Consider the following 15,041-nt stretch of genomic DNA (forward strand, 5'->3'; position numbering starts at 1 on the left):
AATTTGAATTTCTGATTAAAATGAATAATTTTAGTATTCTATATTTATGCTGTATTAAGGATACATTTATACTAAAAAAATTATTTAGTGTCTATCAAAAATTTAGCTTCATCTGGATGTCCTGTATTTTATCTGGCAACACAATCTATAATCAGGTTTTCCATACCCAAAAGATAAGGACCAAACCAGTTGCTCAGGTGATGTTGAGTTTTTCCTAATACCAGATTTCTCCTAATAAAAGAGTAATGGGATGCCTAATAATACTTGGTTAACTGAGCTTTCCCAGACTCTTGGTTTTCTCCTCTGTACAATGAAGGAGTTTGAATCAACAGCCTATAAGCCTCCTCCTTGTACCAATGTCCTGTGATTGTTTGTGATTTTTCATACCCTGGGATTATGCTTTTTGACTAGATGGCTCTGCTGCAGCCAAAAACTACCAACTGGAGTACTTTCATTTAGCTGAATTATTTACTTCACTCAAGGTGGTGATGTAGCCATGCTCTGATTCCCCAAACCTTTTGTGCCAGTTCTGGCTGGTGGCTCTTGTGCCCAACCCAAAAGGACTAGAGAGAGTCGCTTTCCCTCTTTCACTCATTATACATGTGCATTTTACTGCTAACCTCCTAGGCCCAGCAGGAGCAGTGGTGACTGTAGCTTTTCTGAAGGAAGTTAAATTGAGGGCTGGAGTGTAAGTACTGCCCAGGAAGCAAAAGGAGACTCAGGGAAACAAAGCAACTAATCCTAGGTGGTTTGGCCAGTAAGTCATTGAGTGCTGACTTATATCCAAATTCTATAGCCTTTCCACTATGTAACACTGTCTCACAAAGAAGCTGAAGCCCAGAGCCTTGGAGAAGTTTGTTTAGTTTACCACAGTAGGACCCAAGTGAAGCATTTATTGCCCTAGTGAAGCTCTCTGAGTTTAGATTCTTTTCTTTAACTTATTATTTTTATTATTTTTTGAAGCCTGCATGTTTGAGAAAAGAGAGTCTGGAAAATACTTTCTGTTTTCTGAAATCAAAAGTTTTTTTTGTTTCATGGACCAAACTGGTAATATTTCAATGAAAAGATGTCAGGCTTACAAGATCAGGCCTCTAGACCACCCTTCCAACCTTCTCACTTGGTTTCTGTCTGCCCTGAGATGGCCTAATTCAGTAGTCAGACAACTGTTTGCATTTCCCTGAAGATACCACATCCTCCCAAGCCTTTGAGCCTGTCCTTACCTTTTCCAAGATCCAGCTCAAGAATCACAGCTTCTGAGAAATCTCTCCTAGTTCTCTCAAGCAGAGCAAGGCATTGTCAATCAGCTCTGGGTGCCTACAACTCTTACTACATAAGATTATGATTCTTCGTTTACACATCATTTGTCCACTAAATCATAAGGTCCTTATAAAAATTTTTGCTTTTTTATCTGTTTATTTTATATCTACATACCTCCAGCATTTAATGTAGCACCTAGTATAAAGTTCGAGCTCAGTAACTATTTGCTGAAGGGAGAAAAGAGGAAAAGGAGGAATGAAAGGAGGGAGGCAGGAATGAAGAAAGAGTATTTGTATTAGAGTTCTTCAGAGAAAACCAAGAGAATCTGTGTGTGTGTGTGTGTGTGTGTGTGTGTGTGTGTGTGTGTGTGTGTGTGTGTAGCGAGAGAGAGAGAAAGATTACGAAGTATTGGCAAACATTCATTGATGACATAGGCCAGGTAGTCCCATGATCTGCCTACTGTGAACTGAAAAACCAGGAAAGTTGGTGGTGTAATTTGAAGGCCTAAGAGCTGGAGAGATGATAGTATAAATTCCCATCTGGGTTTGAAGGCCTGAGACAGGATCGCCAAGGCAGGGAGAAGATCGATGCTCCAGTTCAAGCAGACAGGCAGAGAGGGTGAATCCTCCCTTCCTTTACATTTTTGTTCTATTCAGATCCTTAATGAATGGGATGATTCCCAGTCACACTGGAGAGGGCAATCCACTTCACTCAGTCCACCAATTCAAATGCTAAACTCTGGTAGAAACTCCCTCACAGATAGATACACTCAGAAATATTGCTCGGGCAGACGTCTGTGCATCCCATGGTCCAGTCAAGTTGACACATAAATTAACCTATCACAGTTTCTGTGCAGTCTGCAGAAGAAAGGAAGCCCACTGATGTTTTGTTTGTTTCTTCTATTATTATTCTCTTGGTGACTTCTTTTAACAGTTTCCTTTTATTTGTTTGTGGGCTTTATACATAACCAATTTTTAATAAGTCCCCACTGTTTTTTTAATATTGAACCATTAGGATTAGGACTTACAATTGTCTGGACTGTGCCACAAGGTCTGAATCAAGGCTCAGGATACATTGGGAGGAAATCTGTCATTATCTACCTCAGTTTTTTCTTTGGTTTGTGTCTTCTCTCTTTGTACTTTCGGGCATAGGCTCAGTTAGTTGCTCATAATACAAGGATAAATGCAATGAAAGCAATTTGCCAGTGCCATTCACTTGCACATCCAGTCATGTCAGCAACTGCTGCCAATTTTCCTTCATAAATATTTTCCATATCTGCTTCATCTTCTCTAAACACCCTGCCACTGCGTTGGGCCAAGCTTTCCACCTCTCTCTTCTGAAGGATTGCCACAGCCTCATGGTGTTCAACCAGCCTCTCCACTTCCCTACCTCTGATCTATCCTCTATCCAACCACCAGAGTGAGTTTACTAAAACTCAGCTCTCAATTGCTTAATTGTCTTTGTCTTCTATTAGTTTTCAACAAAAAGAACTGGTTTCTCTAAGAATAACACTGTTCGCATTGGATGAGGGTCTACCCTAATAATTTCATTTTAAATTGATTGCCTCTTTTAGGACCCTGTCTTCAAATAAGGTCACATTCTGAGGTGCTGGGGATTAGGAGTCTACCATATGAATGTTGGAGGGGCACGGTTTAACTCATAACATCATCCATCCAGCCCCTTTCATACCTCCTTGTTTTTACACATATTGGTTCATTTGCTTGAGATTCTTTTCCTCCCAGCTCCTAAGTGCCACAGGTAGATTTGAATAATTAAAATCTTCTATTTTCTCTTCATCTTGTTCATCATTTTCTTGTATTCCTCTTCTATTATAACCTTTCTTTCAATGAATAATATTTATTGGTTTCCATGTCTGTCTCTCTAATTTGCCATTTTGCCATTTTTGTTCCTAGTGCCTAACAGTTTTTGGCATAGTGTGGATAATTAGATGTGTTAGAATAAATAAATTAGAAGGGATGAGACACAGAAATTGACACATAAAGTGAGCGCCCCGAAAAGCTTAAAAAAGTTATCCAAATGAAGAAAACGAGGAAGAACTTTCCAGGCCTGTGCAGATAAGTGACACAATTATTAGTATAAAAATTAGTGAGTTAGAAATTATAGAAAGTGTGACTAGAAATGTAGGCAGAGACATATTATAAAGGGCCTTGTGAGCCAAGGAGTGTGGTCAGTATCTTATACTCATTCATTCATTTTATACACACACACACACACACACACACACACACACACACATTTACTGACTTCCTAGCACATCATGTTAAATCATTGAAAAGTCTCAAGAAAGGAAATGACATGGCCACATTTGTTTATTAGAATATTATTAGTTTTGGTAGCAAAGTAAAGACAGATTGAAGAGAGTCAAGACTGGAAACAGGGGGGCCATTGAAGAAGTTGTTGCCCTGGCCCAGGCCTGAGATGATAAATAAACCAGCACAGATATTACAGAGATTGGGGTGGGGTGGTGGGGGGAATCACAGTAATACTTAGAAAATAAAAGCAAATAAATTTGATGGCTGATTAAACAAGAGACAAAAGGGAAGTTAAGGAGGAAAAGATAAATCCCATGTTTGGCTGGGTGATTGGTTGGATGATAGAGCCATTCCTAGAAACTTCAAAGATAGAAGAGAATCCAGTTGGAATGCATTTAGAGGTGGGATGGAGTAGGGGATGAAATACAGAGGAAGATAAAAGTTGAGTTGAGTTGCAAGTACTCAAGAAATATCCCATGGGAGATAGCAGATAGATGGCCATCTCTACCAGTCTGAAACTTGAGAGAGGTTCTGGCTGGAGATGTGGATACTGTAGTCATCTACATAGAAAATATAACTGAAGTCATGGTAATAGATCCATATTTCAGAGAAAATGGATATAGCGAGAGGAAGTCAGGATTAATGATAAAACTCTAGGCTTAGTAGCAGTAATCCACCAGCTTTGGCTTTGTCCTATTTGTTGGTAACCCACATATTTGGAAGACTACAGACTTTCTAGGTTCATATTGAATATTGTCATCTAGGAATACATTAGTTTATGAAAACAAATACAATCAAATCCATGACTTTGAAGAGTGACAACCAAAAAAAAAAAAAAAAGCCTCTGGTGATCTCATTTTATTTTGTTCATTTATTTTGCTGATTTTTTTTTATTTGGAGTAATGCAATGTATTAAAAATATAGTCATTATTCATAAACCAAATCTCCCCAAGGAACTCATTCAAAGTTATAATTGCAATAATTAAGTTAGATAAAACAGGTAAAGATTATCTAACCTCTCTTTTCACCTCCATGAAAGAAAACATAGAAGTACACGGAAGTAAAAAAATCTTTACCTGGCAGGAACCCTATTCAATCATCACACAAAATGGGAGGGCTGGAATCCTCCACTTTGAGGGATGAAAACCTAGCTATCAATAACGGGCATGTCACAATTGATCTTTACTAGTAGAGTCAGCCATTTGCAGATACTATTCTGTCAAGCTACATAACCACGTTCCCTCCCCTCAACATCTTGTTTTCTTTCCACTGTCCCAGTGCAGCCATCCAGCCCAGAACACAACAAGAATAGAGTTGATGAGCCCTCTTCTCCTCAACAAACACCTGTGGTAAGCGAAGGCTGTGTCTACTTCTTGACTATTGTATTAATATTTGTCTATTCTTAAACAGTCTCTCCAAATTCTCAATTTTCTTCATCTGTAAAATGGAAATTGTACTGATTTTTCTACCTAATACTCTTGCATTACAAACTACCTTTGGGTTTGACTATTTTCCCTCTAGTAAAATCATTCATAGGATTTTTTCTGGCAGGTTAAGCCTTTCTAATTCCTTGGTTGTGGTATCACAATACCCTTGACATAAAAACCCCACTTCTCCACATTATATTGAGAAAATAATCCAAAAGAAATAGTAAATTTTGTGCCATAGACATTCTTTGAAATATTATCTATCGTAGAAAGATGATATCTCACAACAGGAGATTAATTAAGTAAATATTCACTTAATAGAATTGTATGCAGCTCTTAAAATGGCGTATTTATGAAGAAAGAACTAAAAGGGAAAGGATAAAGGTGATAGCCACTTATATTTCTATAATAATCACAGCTATATGAAAATGATTTAGTCATTTAGGCAAGGACTTTAAGAGGACATTCATAAATGAATTTTTAAAAGTCAAATTCTAATAATCTTGTGGTCATCCCTGCTATTTCCATTTAACGGAAGAGGAAACTGGACTCAGGAATTGCCCAAGACCAGTTTTAATATGTTGAAGTGGCAGTATTGTGAGTGGATTTTCTTCTTGTCATTGTGTCTTCCATTAATGATATTGGATGATTTTATGCAATTTTTGTTTCAATATTTGCTAGAAAGAAGACTGGGACAATGAGTTCTATCTTGTAATAAGTAAACAGTGTGTTCATTTTTAATTCTGCAATTAGAAGTATAAACTTTAGAACTGGGCAGGCTCCGTATTCCATTGCTATTGTGGAAAATGCCTCACAATCATTTTGGAGGTGAGTTCCTCCCACTCTCCATGTCCTGGGTGCTCAAATGGAAAGGTCTATTCACCCCCCTCCTTTGTCTTTTCCCATAATCACTCATGACAGTGGCTGAGAATCTCTGTTGATCATTAATTGGATCAAAGAAATAGGCTTGAGCCATCTCTTTGACTGAAATTGTACCACTGTTGTGAGCCCCATGGCTCTCTCGCTCTCTGTAGCTTGGCTCCAGCCCCTTTAAGACTGCTCATGCAAGCTAGCTCAGCACATCGCTAAGAGAAAACTTGAAGACTCACTTAAATGATTGACCTATTTCTGGGCTCTCTGTTGTTGCAAATTACAAGAATATACTGTGTGCATTTTCAGGTAATTTGATACTATTACCTTAAAACTCACTGGTTCCGCCTCCCCCTTCCCTCCTCTGTTCAGATGGAATATCTGACCTTTTCCCTTGGCAGGCTGTTTCTCTTTTCCAGGTAACTGATGATGATTTTATACCCTGGATGATAATCAATATGTAGAAGCTGTCTTTATTGATTTGGATAAAACCACCAATTATGGCTATTTTGAGCAGAGCTCAATGAGATTAGATGTGATTACATGGCAATGGGGTGTGAGCCCATCAGCAACTCAGGGGCTGCTGTGAGGCTATTTAATTGTTACAGATGAAATGAAAATGGGTGCTTATAACCACTTCCCACTCAGAAGACATACCTGCACACTTCACAGGGCAGAACCTCCAGGCTGGACCACACCTGGCCATGCACTCAGGACTCTATGAGTCTGGTTCACAGACAGCACAGATAAAATGGCTCAAGGAGAACCAATGGCCTTCATGAATCCTGTTTACTCCAGTCTGGGCTGTGTCATTTATACAGAAATCAGAGGCAGCAACGTTTCCAAGAATATATGGATTTCAGGCAGATCAGTAAGAATGTCAGGCAGCAGGAAAAGAACACAGCAGGCTTTAGCTCAGGCAGTACCCTTAGCTTGGAATGTTGGAGTGTCCTTCCCAGAATCCCCATCCTGATAGTCCCAGATTCTCTGCTGCCTCTTCTGAAAACTTTCCTTGTCATCTTTTCTGGAAGATGATTCTATATCCTAGTCATTAGGGACATAGATCTTGAAGTTCCCCTGTTACTTCTTAGCTAAGTAACTTTACACAAGTTACCAAACTTTTCTATGAACAATTTGTACAATAGGGAAAATATTGAAATACTTAAAACTATACTTGGCCCTCATCCCCAGCCTTCCATTTGCAAAGAAAAAGAGTTGGAGCCAGAGATTCCAGTGCACATCTCTGCTCTCTATACTTCTCAGCTATGTAGCTATGCCTACATTTCCTCATCTGCAGTAGTTACATGATTTAGCATGTGCAATGGCCTCAGCCTACCGAAGGTGTGCTCTCTCCCTGATTATTATTTTTCTCCTCTCAATCAGTTACTGAGTGGATTGTCTGGATCTTAGACATCTAGGACCACACGTTTCCCCCAGTCATTGAGGGCTTGGTAGCACAATATGATCATAATAATAATAACAACACAGTTCTATTTCATTCATTGATTCATTTATCCATCCATTCATTCAAGAGGTGTTTATTGAGCATTTATTAAAGGAGGGACTATTACGAGCACTGGGGTATATGGCGCTGAGCAAAACAAATGAGGTGTCTGAAACAATGGAGCCTACATGCCAATGGAAGGGGAGAGATACTAAACATATGGAAACAAATAAATGGAACAAGATAATTTAAGTGCTGTGGAAATATAAATCAGGGTTATGTGACCAAGAGTGACTGGGACATGAGCATTGGGAAAAGGCTGTTGATTTGATTAGACAGTGCCTCTCTAAAGGAAAGACATCAAAACTATGACCTGGAGGCCACAAAGGATCCTTTCAGGTGAAGTTCTGGGAAGAGTTGCAACAAGGTCATTAGGTGGAAACAGACTGGTATGTTCAAGGAATATCAAAGGCAATCTGGACAGTCCATGGCAAGCAATGGGGAAATCTCTTTGAGCAAAAACGCAGGTGCTCCCGCTCCACTGAAGTCATTAGCTCCTATTTATTTCAGGATTCCTGCACTGACTCAGGAACAATCATGACTCAACTCCTGGCTCCCTCGTGGTGACTCTCCAGAGTCACACTGAATGTGGGGCCTGGGCTTTTTGTTCCTGCAGCTCCTGCTATGCCATTTGATATCGCCAGTGTTGACAGAGTTCTAGCCACTGCCCTGTTCTCCTTCATAATCACCACACTAGAGCAAGGACAGAGATGTGTGTTTGGGGAACAGAATATTTCTCCTTATGTGTATTGCACTCAAGACTTAGATCACAGAGCAGACTTGTGATTAGTTCTCTTGCCAGCCCTAATTGAGTAGAATCTATTTATACAATCTTGTCTTCAGTTCATTCAGACTACCCTGGAAGTGGCATCCTAGAACGCTTTTACTAATCTGGGAGTTCAAGACATTTAAAATGTATGGAATCATGCTCTATTCCACATAACTCTTCTCTTTTCTAGTATACTTAGTGGATAGGAGCCCAGACGTGGGGTCAGATGGACCTGGGTTCAAGCTCATTTTCCACTGATTGAGTGAACCTGAGCAAGGGAAATAATCTCCCTGTGCCTCATCTTCCTCTTCTGTAAAATAGGGAGAGTAATAATAACTGCATCATAGCTTATAAAACACCAGGACAGGACCTATCATATAAAAAGACACAATAGTTTTTCTTCATTGTTGTTACTTTTGGACCAAGATGTGCACCTTGACCTTCTACTTTTTTTTTTCTTTTTTATTTTTTTTGAGATGGAGTGCAATGACACAATCTCGGCTCACTGCAACCTCAGCCTCCAGGGTTCAAGTGATTCTCCTGCCTCAGCCTCCCAAGTAGCTGGAATTACAGGCACCCACCACCACGCCTGGCTAATTTCTGTATTTTTAGTAGAGGCGGGGTTTCACCACGTTGGCCAGGCTGGTCTCGAACTCCTGACCTCAGATGATCCACCCACTTCAGCCTCCCAAAGTGCTGGGATTACAGGTGTGAGCCACTACACCCGGCCCTAACTTTCTTCTTTTAAGAAGAGTTCCTTCCCACTTCCTGTGACACTAAGATGTGATTTTTATTCTCCATGGTTGGGACAAAAATGAGACACACCCATCAGCTGGTTTGTTGAGTTACTGATTTCTTAATTACTGAGTTACTGATCCCTCCAAAGAGGATCCCCAGACCCTCATATAAGTAAAACTCTTCTCAGCAGTGCCTGAATTTATAGGAGATAACACAGCTGAGTTCCTTTTTTGGATTTCCTTAAAACTGCACAAAACAAAACAAAACCCAGAGCTCAGACTATACTAGCTACTCTGATTTGTGCAGACACCTGGACATGCATTAAATTCACGGTGTCAGAAAACAAGCATGGAAAACCCACTGAAGCACCAATCCATTTTTCCCCTCTTGCTTTTCATGTGTTTTTGAGTAACCAAAGAACATTCTTGTTTAAAGTAAAAAAAAAAAAAAAAAAAAAAAATACTAGTATAGTTTGCTTTTGGAGAGAGCTCCTTATAAAAGCTGCAGGCTTTTGGGGGGCTGAAAAACAGAACAATTGGAAACTCCAAGTGTGACTTCTGGCCCCATCATTTAAGGCCGAATTCTTCTCTCTGAGACACAGTGATGGTTCCCACTGCATAACTCCCACTGCATGACTCCCGCCATGCACTTAAGTCCTATTCAAAGGAAGAGTAGCCACTCAGCCTGCAGCAAAGGTAGAATATGCAATAGTTCTGTGGTGTTGTTGGAACAGGGCTGACGAGAGAGAATTTTCCTGCTAATCCTCTATCCATTCTGACACCAGCCTGGCATTTGGGAAGTGGAAGGGAGATAAAGATTAGGACTATGTAGGGTGAGCGGAGACATGTAGCAGCCTATATGCAAGTGTCGCTTCTCAAATACGAAACTGAGAAATAGATCACATTTTACACTGAAATTTTGCACTGCTTCTGAGCATCTTGCCAAGAGCTATTCGAAAGACAGCAAATATTTTAGGATTAAGGGTCTCCAAATCTGAGCAGAATAGGCCCAGCCGTGGAGTAGGTCAGCACTTCTGAGGCAGTTGCTTTCAGTTTTCATGGCCATGTTTGTATCCATGTCATGACTGAGTCAGGAAACCCGCCTGTTCTGTTTTGTTTTGTTTTACCAGTTTTGGTTGTTTGACCATCAGATTATACAATCGCTGAGACTCAACATGCTACAACTCAACTTGGCTGCAAAGATAGCAAAACATAGCATTTTTAAAAATCTGCCAGTCTTTAGAGAGTTGAATTGCATAATGTCTGTAGCTTACCAAGTGTTTTTCCATCTTCAGTCTGATACAACCAAACTGAATAGTCTTGACAAGGTGATGTTTATGGTTGCTAAGACAGAAAACAATTCCCACCTTAAGCCCTGTTCTCTCTTCCCTCTGCTTGCTCCCTGGGTGACTTCCTTCTTTCCTTTATTTAGTCATTCAATTGGTTTAAACTTCATTTTAACAAATGAATTCATTCCAATATGCATGTGGTTTTAGCCACCACCTGATGCTGATGGCAGCCTGCTCCCTCTTGTCATCCACAAGTGAGTACTACTGTCTGCTGCATGCACATTTCCACCTGGCTGCCTCATGAACACTTCTGCTCACCCTACATAGTCCCAAACTCTGCATTCCTCACACTTAAATGTAAAGCTTAACTCATTCTCTTTCCTCCTCCTTCTTCTGAATTTCTAATTGATGGAAAGCTATCAGCACATTTTGCCTAAGCCAGAATACTAGGTATAACTATTGACCCAGCTCCCTCACCAATCTTATACAAATTGATTAATAAAACTTGCCCGCTCTGCCTGTTAACATCCCTGAATTCTGTGCCTTTTCCTGTTGTCGCTGTCGCTCAAGCCAACCTCATTTCTTACTGGGATCACTGCATCAGCCTCCCATCATTTCTCCCCACCTCTATTCTTGTCCAATTTCAATAGATTCTATGCAAGTAAGAGTGATCTTTCTGAAATGCTTATTTGACTGTGTCACTCACTACTAAAATCTTTCAGAGGCTCTCCGTGGCCCTCAGTCCAAGCTCCTTTGTTTGGCTTAAAAGTTTTCCATACCTTAACCCTTTCCTACCTATATAGCCCTGTTTTCTACTGCCATCTGCCTACTTCTACCCTCCAACTCTTCCCCAGTCTCTCTACCCGCCTCCCCAGCCTCCTTTCTCTCTCTCACTTCCCTGCATAGATGTATGGAGCCCTTGCTTCTTAAACAGCACTCCTTCTCTTCTCTGCCTATTTCTTTCCTTTTACCCATAAGTTAGCTAGTGGAACATCCTCCAGGAAGAATTCTCTCATCACCCTCCCCCCTTATTAAACTGTGACCTCCTTAAAGATAGGGCCCATGTCTTCTTCACTTCCGAAAGTCGATTTCTAGCAGAGGGCCTCCCACATGGTGCTTCATAAAAACTCAAAGGTTCAATGAGAATTTCCATCTCAGTGTATGACTGACAGTCTAAATGCAGCTCTCAGCCCAACATATTACCCAGAAGGCCTCAAGGACCTAGTGAAGAGTGACTTCCTGGGTCCTCGTGGGTTTTCCCTGCATCCTGAAGTGGGCACACAATTAAATGGCCAGCACTTACAGTTAAAAGCTAAGCAAACCTTCCACACCTTTCTGGAAGTTCACAGTAGCTCTGCTTTCATTTTGCAGATGAGAACATTGAGGCAAGGGAACAGGTGGCCAAAAATACCCTCATAGCCTTGAGAAAGTCCATCTTGATGTTATCCAGTGAAACTTAATGGCAACGCAGGAGCCAGGGAGCCTGCTTTATTTTGGAAATGAAAAAGTCAGTACAGTTGATGAGAATTTGAAGAGAAAAGACACAACAAAGTAGAAGGCTAACACCAATTCCAAACAATAGTAAAGAATCATAATAAAGTTACTATGAATCAAAATATCTCATATTTATCTCATTTATTTCTCACAATTATCTTTTTATTCCTGTTTGTTATAGGAAGAAATTAAAGCTCAGAGAAGTTCCATAACTTGCCCAGAACCTCACACACACTAGTGAACAGCATAGTCAACATTTGAACACCAGTTTGCCTGATTTCAAAGTCTACATTCTTGAATGTGAGGGTGATCTGGCTGTGACATCTGCCACCCACTGATCACCAGGGTTGATTCAGCTGATCTGGCTGTCTGGGCAGATGTCCCCTTCCTCCCTCACCGCTCCATGTGTGTCCTTCCCAAAGCTGCATGCTTGGTTGAAGAGGATGACCATCCCCAATAGAGGAGGGCCAGTCTTCAGTGAAGGGTATACGAGTAGCTGTGCTCCACTGCTAGAACCTCTAAACAAGCTCTCAAAGTCTACATTCTTCATCATCAAGTGATATTACCTCTCTAAAGAGAAAATTGAAAAATTCAGGAAGACTGCTCCTTATGGGTGGCCAGGGCCATATATAGTAAACATTCCTTAACTATCTCTTAAATGAAAATGAGTGAGTGAAAAATTTATCTAGAATCTTCTGCTGGTTCATTTTCAGATTTCTTCCATTTACAGAACAGACTTCCCAGGAGTCCTCAGGCCAAGTCAGAACTGTCTGACTTGAGTTTTTTTTTTTTTTAATGGAGTTTCACTCTTGTCACCCAGGCTGGAGTGCAATGGCACAATCTGGGCTCACTGCAAACTCCACCTCCTGGATTCAAGCAATTCTCCTGCCTCAGCCTCCCAAGTAGCTGGGATGACAGGCAACCGCCACAATGCCCAGCTAATTTTTTTGGTATTTTTAGTAGAGACAGGGTTTTGCCATGTTGGCCAGGCTTGTCTCGAACTCCTGACCTCAGATGATCCATGTGCCTCGGCCTCCCAAAGTGCTGGGATTATAGGCATGAGCCACCATGCCCAGCTGAGATTTTTTTAAAGAGAAAAATCTAACCATTGACCGTATTGGACATGAACAAGATGCCAACAGCTTAAGCAGCATTGTCCAACAGAGCTTTCTGTGACTAAGGAAACATTCTAGAACTGCATTGTACTATCTAGAGGTAGCCACCTGTGGCTGTCCAGTACATGACATGTGGCTTGTGTGACTGAGAAACTAAATTTTAATTAATTTTAATTAATATTAATTGAAATAGTCATATGTGGCCATTAGATGGCAAAGACATTTCATTCAACAATTATTTATTGAACACTGAGCTAGATGATGTTAAGCACTGAACTAGGTGATAAGTGAGGTCAAAACTAAAACAATTCCTTGTCCTCATGGAGCTACAGTCTCATGAAGCTAGATATCAATCAAATAATTATACCAATAAAAATAAGATTGCAATAATGGTGATTGGTATGAATGAAGGTTATAAAGTCTATTGAGATCTGGATTAATCTGAGTGTCTCATGGAAGTTTCCTGAAGAAGGAATATTTGGGTCTGATCTGATGGATGTTAACCAGGTGAGAACCTTCCCTGTAGAGGCAAATTGCCTGGTAGTGACAGACTCAGTGATCAAGGGAGCTCAAAACAGGCATATACTAGAATCTCCCAGGCACAATACAACTTCTATCTCATCCTTCTCTAGAGCCAGCCTTCCTACAGTTACATGCATGCCTAATTGCAGGGCTGGGTAGGAAGCCCCTCCCACTTCTACTCTCTGCCATGGCTGGCACATCTCACAGGTTCTCATGCTGAAATCTCCTCTTCTACCATCTACTACAAGTCTGCCCACCATACAAAGGGTGCTGCTTGGCTGTTTTAGGCTCATGGCTCCTTAGAATGAACTGTGAAGGTTATGAGAAGAAGAACATTTAATAAGCTTAGTGAGCCTCTTCTCATTGCTTTCTTCTTTCCTTCCAATTAACATTGCGGTCTCACTTCTCCCTTCACGTGGGACAGTCATTTATTCTTTTCTCTGGTGGTTACTCTTTCCAGCCAACCTCTGACAATCTACCTTTCTGATGCCTCTTGCCAAAGGCATCTTACAATCTCAGGGGAGGGATGAAGGTTCACATACATAACATAATACAAGATGGCAGGTATTGAGTACCATCTTCATGGAACAAGTAACAATAAGCACTTAGACAATAATAAATCAAGGGAGACTTCACAAAGGGATGATATTGGGCTATATCTTTAAAAATGTGTGCACACAGGAAAAGGAAGCCTTTCTAAGAGATAAAAATGTACAGGCAAAGGTCAAGGGCAGGGAAAGGCAAGAACTGCAACTAGAATTGTTTGGTTAGAGCCCTGAGGGAAGCAAGGCAAGCCAGACAAATTGAAGCCAGATGGCAAGGGGCCTTGAGTGTCACATAAAGCTATTTGAGCTGTTTTCATTAGGTAACAGCCACTGGAAATATGGGGAGGCCTGAGCTAATCTGAGCAGCATCTCACAAAGATGGATCTTAGAGTCATGTATGGAAGAATTTCATTGGCTAAGAGACCAAAGTCAAGGAAACCAGAACAAAAGCTTTTGAATGGCCTTGCTTGGGCTTTCTAAGGCTTCACACTTTCTAAGTGTGCTGACTCTTTCTAAGTGCCTGACTCTTTATTGTACACCTGTTTTTGTTTTAATGTATCTATTAAACACTTACTAGACATTCACCAGGCATGTCCAATGCCAGACAACAAAGTTGACCTCCATCCTAACACTATGTTTTATTCATCCTGCATCCATAAACTCTAGCAGAACTCAAGTCAAGTAGTAGGCACTTAACAGATACTTGTTGAAGGACTGGTCAACTTCGGTTGCTAAACCATTGTAGCAACAAAGATAACAACAATAACAACAGCATGAGTAATGTCAGAGGTGTTTGAATCAGAGTGCCTCCATCTTGAATAGGGGCTGGGTATAATAAGGCTGAGACCTACTGGGCTGCATTCCCAGACAATTAGGCATTCTAAATCACAGGATGAGATAGGAGGTCGGCACAAGATATAGGTCATAAAGACCTTGCTGATAAAACAGGTTGCAATAAAGAAGCCAGCCAAAACCCAGTAAAACCAAGATGGTGATGAGAGTGACTTATGTTCATCCCCACTGCTACATTTCCACCAGCACCATGACAGTTTACAAATGCCATGGCAAAGTCTGGAAGTTACCCTAGATGGTCTAAAAAGGGGAGGAACCCTCAGCTCTGGGAACTGTACACGCCCTTCCTGGGAAACTCATAAATAATCAACTTCTTGTTTAGCAAGTAATCAAGAAATAACCATAAAAATAGGCAACCAGCAGCCCAGGCTGCTACTCTGCCTATGG

The 15,041-nt window shown here is 40.7% G+C and overlaps 1 long non-coding RNA gene and 1 pseudogene across 1 annotated transcript in view; both read left to right on the forward strand.

Annotated features, from left to right (window-relative positions):
• LINC01505 (long intergenic non-protein coding RNA 1505) overlaps positions 1 to 11,742 on the forward strand; it is a 63,745-nt gene extending 52,003 nt beyond the window's left edge. Inside the window, exons 6-7 of the long non-coding RNA NR_104145.1 lie at positions 4,809 to 4,879; positions 11,498 to 11,742. This is a non-coding gene — a long non-coding RNA (long intergenic non-protein coding RNA 1505). The remainder of the gene's footprint in view (positions 1 to 4,808; positions 4,880 to 11,497) is intronic.
• Positions 11,919 to 12,164, forward strand: RN7SKP77 (RN7SK pseudogene 77; annotated as a pseudogene).

This window comes from Homo sapiens, chromosome 9 (genome assembly GCF_000001405.40).
Source record: "Homo sapiens chromosome 9, GRCh38.p14 Primary Assembly".
NCBI classification, from domain to species: Eukaryota; Metazoa; Chordata; class Mammalia; order Primates; family Hominidae; genus Homo; species Homo sapiens.